Here is a 6572-nt window from a genome sequence, read left to right as displayed (position 1 = left end):
ACAAACAGAGCTTCTTTCCTTCTAAAGCGCCTGTCTCTACTCCCCTTCCTGGCACCCCTAATAGCCTAGAAGTTTCCCTGTATCTGCCCCAAAGGCAGCAAAAAGCATTTTCCTGGGAATTCTAGGGATCAAAGTGGTCTTCACTGCCCCAGAATTCCCCCTAGTGAACCTGGTAGTGAGGACAATAACTCCTGGTTCCTCTTCACACCTGCAGCTGCTACCGGGGTGACCTCCAGGGTCCTCACTGCCGCTCCCTCCCGTCTCAACCTGGAGAGGAGAGTCACTCCTTGGAATCATCACCTGCAGTGACCCTAGGCATGGGGGAGCACCCCAGGAAGGCCTTAGATACTTTACAGTGTTCTCCCTACAGGGGAGGCTCAGCTCCGGCTGCTGCCCTCACAGACAAGGTCGCCACTGCAGGGAGTGGGCTCCCGGGGGAAGCACCCAGGCCCGAGCTCCAGTCCACTCATTCCTTCATTTGTCCTTTCATTCACTTCGCTGACTGTCTAGTGAGCACTTCCTATGGGCCAAGTGCTGAGCTGTGGACTGAGGTACAGAGGTAAGGGCCACATTATCCTCCCTGAGCTCACAGCTGCAGTGGCAGGCGGTAGAGTTGGCACTTTGAGGGTGGGACATCGTGGGGGAGGCTGGGGGTCTCTGTCCTTACCCTCAAAAAGCTCACAGCCTCAAAACCTAACACAGGGTAAACCAGGAGAGGAGTCGGCATGGAAGTCTCCTTGGACACAGGAGGAGCACCCCGGCCTCGAGACAGGAAGAGCTCACCTGGAGAAAGGGGAATGGGGAGGAGGAGGGCAAGGCTAAACACAGGAGAGACAGCAAGGCAAAGGCCTGGAAGCAACACCTAGAACCTTCCAGAAGATTAGAAGAACTGGCACAGCGATGATTCTGGAAGCTGGAGCTCAGAAAGAAAAGGGGAACCCACCAAAGGGCTTCAGGCAGGGGCCGTGAGTGGTCAGATGTACGTGTTGGAAAATGCCTGGCCACGGTGAGGGGGGGCGACTGGAGGACACCATGTTGGAGGACCTGCCGTTGTCTAGTGAGAGGTGATGGGCACCTGAACCAAAGCAGTGAAGGTGGGGATGGGACAGAGGGGCCGATCTGATGGGTTCAGGAAGGGGCATCAACAGGATGGGGTGACTGAGTGTGGAAGGCATGCAAGAAGGAGGATGATGCCCAGCACCTGGCTCCAGCAGCAGGAAGGACAGCCGAGCTGTTCACAAAGGCAGAGAAGGGAAGACAAGGAGCAGGTTCCCGGGGAATAATAAAACTGTTCAATTTTGAACTTGCTGAGTTTCTTGGGGTTTTTTGTGGGACGAATAAGAGATGCTAGAAAGCTGTTAGAGGGCTGGGCATGGTGGTTCACCCCTGTAATCCCAGTACTTTGGGAGGCAGAGGTGGGAGGATTGCTTGAGCCCAGGAGTTTGAGACCACCCTGGGCAACATGGTGAAACCCCACTTATACAAAAAATAAAAAATTAGCTAGACATAATGGCCCACGCCTGTGGTACCAGCTACTCAGAAGGCTTAAGTGGGCCAGGAGATTGAGGCTGCAGTGAACCATGATCACAACACTGTACTCCAGGCTGAGTGACAAAGTGAGACCCTGTCTAAAAAAAAAAAAAAAAAAAAGAAAGAAAGAAAGAAAAGAAAAGAAAGGAAAAGAAAGAAGAGAAGAGAAGAAAAAAAAAACTGTTAGGTATTCCTGCCTAGACCTTGAACATTACAGATTTGGAAGACAATGGCAAACTGCAGTCATAAATGAGGTCATTCAGTTTGTAAATGACAATGAGGATAAGTCACAGAGGCACACCCTCATATAACAGAAAGGGAAGGGGAAAGGAACAATAAGAGAGAGAAGAAAAAATCAGGGCAGAAAAAGAGGGAGTGCATTAGGACTTTTCCGCGTGTAACAACAAAGCCAATTCAAACTGACCTAAATAGTAAAAGTGATTTACAGGGACATGTGACTGGAAACACAGGGCCAGATCTGGCTTCAGGTTCAATTTGATTCAACCGCTCTACCAATGGCATCAAGGATCCAGTTTCTCTCTGTCCTTCAGCTCTGCCTTCTGCAGGATTAGCTTTATTATAATGTCAGTGGCCAAAACGCCCAGGTTTCTTACTTCCCCCTCCAAATCCAGGGGGAACAGGCCATCATACCCAGAGACCTCTCAGTACATCAAAGAAACATCTTACCTAGAAACTGCAAATAAATTTTTTTCCCAAACTGATTGTCTTGAATTTGGTAACATCTTCACCTCTGAACCAATTTCTATGGCTTTTATTGCTTATGCCAAAGCCATTTTCCCCAGACTTGGAGCTTAGGATAGAGTTGATTTTCCACAAAGCACATAGACAGAGGGGTAGATTCCTCAAGTAAAAGCAGGGTACAGGAGTTACCTTATTACCAAAAGACAGAAATACTGGGCATGAGGGAGGCAATCACAATACAAAATAACACAGGTGAGAGTTCTCAAGAAAGAGGAAGTAGACAACAGCAGCAAAAACTATAGAGAGGCCAAGGAACAACAACATTGAATGTGTGTGTAAGGTGGGATGGGGGAGATCTATGAGGAAATTCTTCCTGGAAAACTGGCAATCGTTGAAGAGCATCAAACCATGCATGGACTTCAGATAAGATGTGTGTGTGCACATGTATGCATGCATAGGCTTTAGCTAGGACACATGGGTGTACGTGTATACATGCATGGGTTTTAGTTAGAATGTGGGTGTGTGCGTGTATACATGCAGAGGCTTTAGATAGGACACATGTATGCATGCATAGGCTTTAGACAGGACATATGTATCCATGCATAGGCTTTAGATAGGACACATGTATGCACACATGGGCTTTAGACAGGATGTGTATGATACCATGCATGTGTACTAGTGCATGCACTCACACCACACACATTGGTAAGGAGGGGTGTCCTGGCAACAGGAGGGTCCTGTGCAGAGATCCAGAGGCAAGTTTGACAGCACATTCTGATGGAGAAAAGCAGGAATCTAGTGCAAGAATTGGAGGCAGCAGAAGATGAAGAGCCGTGAGCTGGGACCAAATTCTAGCAGCTCTCAGTAGAGTCCCCCTGAGCCTCTTGGACATAGTCCTGAAGGCTGCGGAAACTGCTGGAGGGCTTCGAGCAGGGGATGGCACAGCCACAGTGAAGTTTAGAAAAATCACTGTGGCCTCGGTGTGGGGTGTAGTGAAGGAGCAAGAGAGCAGGTGGGAAGAGCAATGGGAAGGTGATGGCAGGTGTCTGGGTGGCCTTGGCAAAGGTGGTGGGGGCAGGCAACGGTCAGAAGAGGACAAAGCAAGATACTAAAGAGGATAAGAGAGCAGGGCTGGGGAGTGATTGATATAGAGGGTGACAGGGGAGGCACTATGGATGTGAGAACAGGCCTGGACAGCCACAGCCACCATCCATCAGTAGAAGGCCACCATCCACTGTGGCCACCATCCACCAGGAGAAGGCTACCATCCACTGTGGCCACCATCCACCAGGAGAAGGCCACTATCCACCAGAAGAAGGCCACCATCCACCAGGAGGAGGCCACTATCCACCAGAAGAAGGCCACCATCCACTATGGCCACCATCCACCAGGAGAAGGGCCTGCGGAACTCTCTTCTCTCCTCCCCTCCCCCTGCCATTCATCCACCTCTGAGGTGCCAGTGATGTCACAATGCACTGCCACAGTCTGAGTGACCACCTATGAACCACCTACGAATTGTGAGAAGGAAATTGCAGGTACTTGTGTGGGAAATGCTGCAGTATCCAGCTGGCTCCACAGGTGGTAGGGAGTGGGAGCTTAAAAACGAAGAAACTGAAGGGGACAGATGATCCTGATGAAATGGAGACTGGATTTTTATTTTTTAAAAAATACAAGTGAAAGAGAATGCAGCCCCAAAGAGTAGCTGGAGCAGAATGGGATCCTAAGTCTTCGCCTTGGAGGTAGCTCCCTTCATGTCTGGTAATTTTTCTTCTTGAAGGTGAAGGGTTTGCAGTCCCTGTTCCAAGAACTGGAACCTCACGTCCTATTTCTTGTAGACTTTGGCTTTTGTTGAATGGGAGATGCTGGAATCTTTTCCACAGGAGACCAAACCAAGTCATCCTCTTGGCTACACTTCCTTGGCCCTGGCTCTAGTTTTGGGGGGAAGAGGAGAGGGCTGAGGAATTGATAGAGCGGAGAATGCACAGGGGGATGCGGGAGGAGGAACGGGGCTCCTCCCAAGGGCCCCTGGAAGAAAAGCCCGGAAGGAAGTGCTGGTGATGCTGCTAATGCTCTGCCTCTGCCTTCCCACTCAGCGTCTGCAGGCCTGGGTCCTGGGCCCTTGTCTGACCCCAGGGGAAGAGGAGGAGGAGGTGCTGATGCTGGAGCGGGTTTTCAAGGCCTGCTCTGCCCAAACAAAAGCCACCAATTTGGAAAACGCAAGCTGCTCGCTGGCCACAGCCACCTCTGCCTCCACCCACCTAGGGGGAATTGCCCCACTCGTCTCCCCAGTACACTGTCCCCGTCCAAGCCCAACCCATGTCCAAGGGAAGGCACCAGGGAAGCTGCAGCCGACGGGATTAGGCATCGAGTGCCCAGGCTGGGGCTTTGGCCTTCTCTCTGTCCAAAAAGTAGAAGTCGAGTCCAGAAAGAGCCAAACTAGAGGCCCCAGTCTCTATTTTCAGAAGATGCTCAAGGAAATCTCTTCCTCGATCTTTAAAAACCTCTCCACCCAATCGCCAGGAAGGCCATGAGGTCAAAAGCAGCCGTTTTGCTCACATCCCGCCCCTCCTTCCCCCTCGCTGAGCACCAAGAATAACTTCCTGCTGGGGATGAGGGTGGGTAAAAAAAGATTTAATTACAGCTTCTGTTTCTGACCTCGCTCCCCTACCCCTGGGAGCTGCCATGTTGCCCTGCCTGACTGTGGTGTCACCAAGAGGACACTGGCCTGGGGACACCGGCCTGGGGACACCAACCACAGGCCGGAGAGAGCCTGGGGGCTGACGGTGGGTTCCCTGAGCCGGCTCTGATAGTACCAGAAAATCCAGGGTTGGGTTACCCGCTAAGGCGGTCTCCTACTGCAGCCGAACCAGTGGGAGCACCCAGAGCCAGGGCACAGAGCGGGCTCCATGGATTGTTTTGAGAACATAGCAGGCCAAGCTCAGTAGCTCATGCCTGTAATCCCAATGCTTTGGGAAGCAGAGGCGGGAGGATTGCTTGAGGTCAGGAGTTCAAGACCAGCCTGGGCAACATAATAAGACCCCGTCAATACCAAAAATTAAAACATTAACTAGGCATGGCGGTGCATGCTTATAATCCCGGCTACTTGGGAGGCTGAGGCAGGAGGGTCACTTGAGCCCAGGCATTGGAGACTGCAGTGAGCTATGATCACACCTCTGCACTCCAGCGTGGATGACAGAGCAAGATTTTGCCTCAAATAAATAATAAACAAACAAACAAAATGACAAACTGGACATAGGGGAAATCGCTGGCTTTGGTAAGGTCAAGCTGAAGAAAAGAGAGACTCAGGAGAACACTCGGCCGACCAGAGACCACTGAGCGGAAGTAGAGTGAAACTTCCTAAGAGCCTGGAAGGTACCCCCTGTCCTCCTCGAGCCTGCAGTGCTGATGTGGAGGAAGAGCCACCCACAAGATGCGCCTGAGCCACAAGCCACACCGTGAACCCAGGTACCCTGCACCCATGTACCAGCCTGTGGGTGTCTGACGGGACCCCCCAGTCAGACTGCCAAATTCTCCAGTGTGCCCTGGGATATTCTAAAAATTATTTCTATGATTATGAAAAATAAAACTCACTTTGTGCACCCCCCCCCAAAAAAAAAATTCTAAGGCAGGATGGAAGATGCTTCTAAAAGACAGGGTAATTTTCTCCCCAGATGTTTCCAGGCCAGCACCGTCCCCGCTTCCAATTTCCAAATCTCACCCTCAACTCCCACCCCATCACATTCTGGCTGGCCAGACTGCTTCACAGTCATTGCTTTTTCTTTTTTAGAGACAGGGTCTTGCTGTGTCACCCAGGCTGGAGTGACACCATTTTGGCTCACTGCAGCTCAACTCCGCTGGGCTCAAGCAGTCCTCCTGCCTCAGCTTCCCGAGTAGCTTGGGACTACAGGTGTGCACCACCATGCCTGGCTAATTTTTTTATGTTTTGAAGACATGGGGTCTCCCTGTGTTTCCCAGCCTGGTCTTGAACTCCTGGGCTCTAGTGATCCTCCCACCTTGGCCTCCCAAAGTGCTGGAATTACAGGCGTGAGCCACAATGCCCAGTGGTTACTGCTTGTTCACATTTAGTGATCAACAGCATCAAATAAAACCTTGGCGTGCGGCCACCCATCATTGTGAACAACCCTAGACAAGACTTCTCTGGGCCCTCCACCCCCTCCCTGACCCGCCCTGCCTCCGCCTTCCAACAGCCACCAAGCAAACATTTGCAAGTCCATCTCTGCAGACCAAAAGTGCTTAGCGATCCTCTTAAACTCTGACAACCAGGTGAGGAGGGCCTTTCTCCCTATGAAACCCCTTAAACTCCTCAGAGACCCCTTTTA

The sequence above is a fragment of the Homo sapiens genome, chromosome 8 (genome assembly GCF_000001405.40).
Source record: "Homo sapiens chromosome 8, GRCh38.p14 Primary Assembly".
NCBI lineage: Eukaryota > Metazoa > Chordata > Mammalia > Primates > Hominidae > Homo > Homo sapiens.
Note: the sequence above shows the minus strand (reverse complement) of the source record.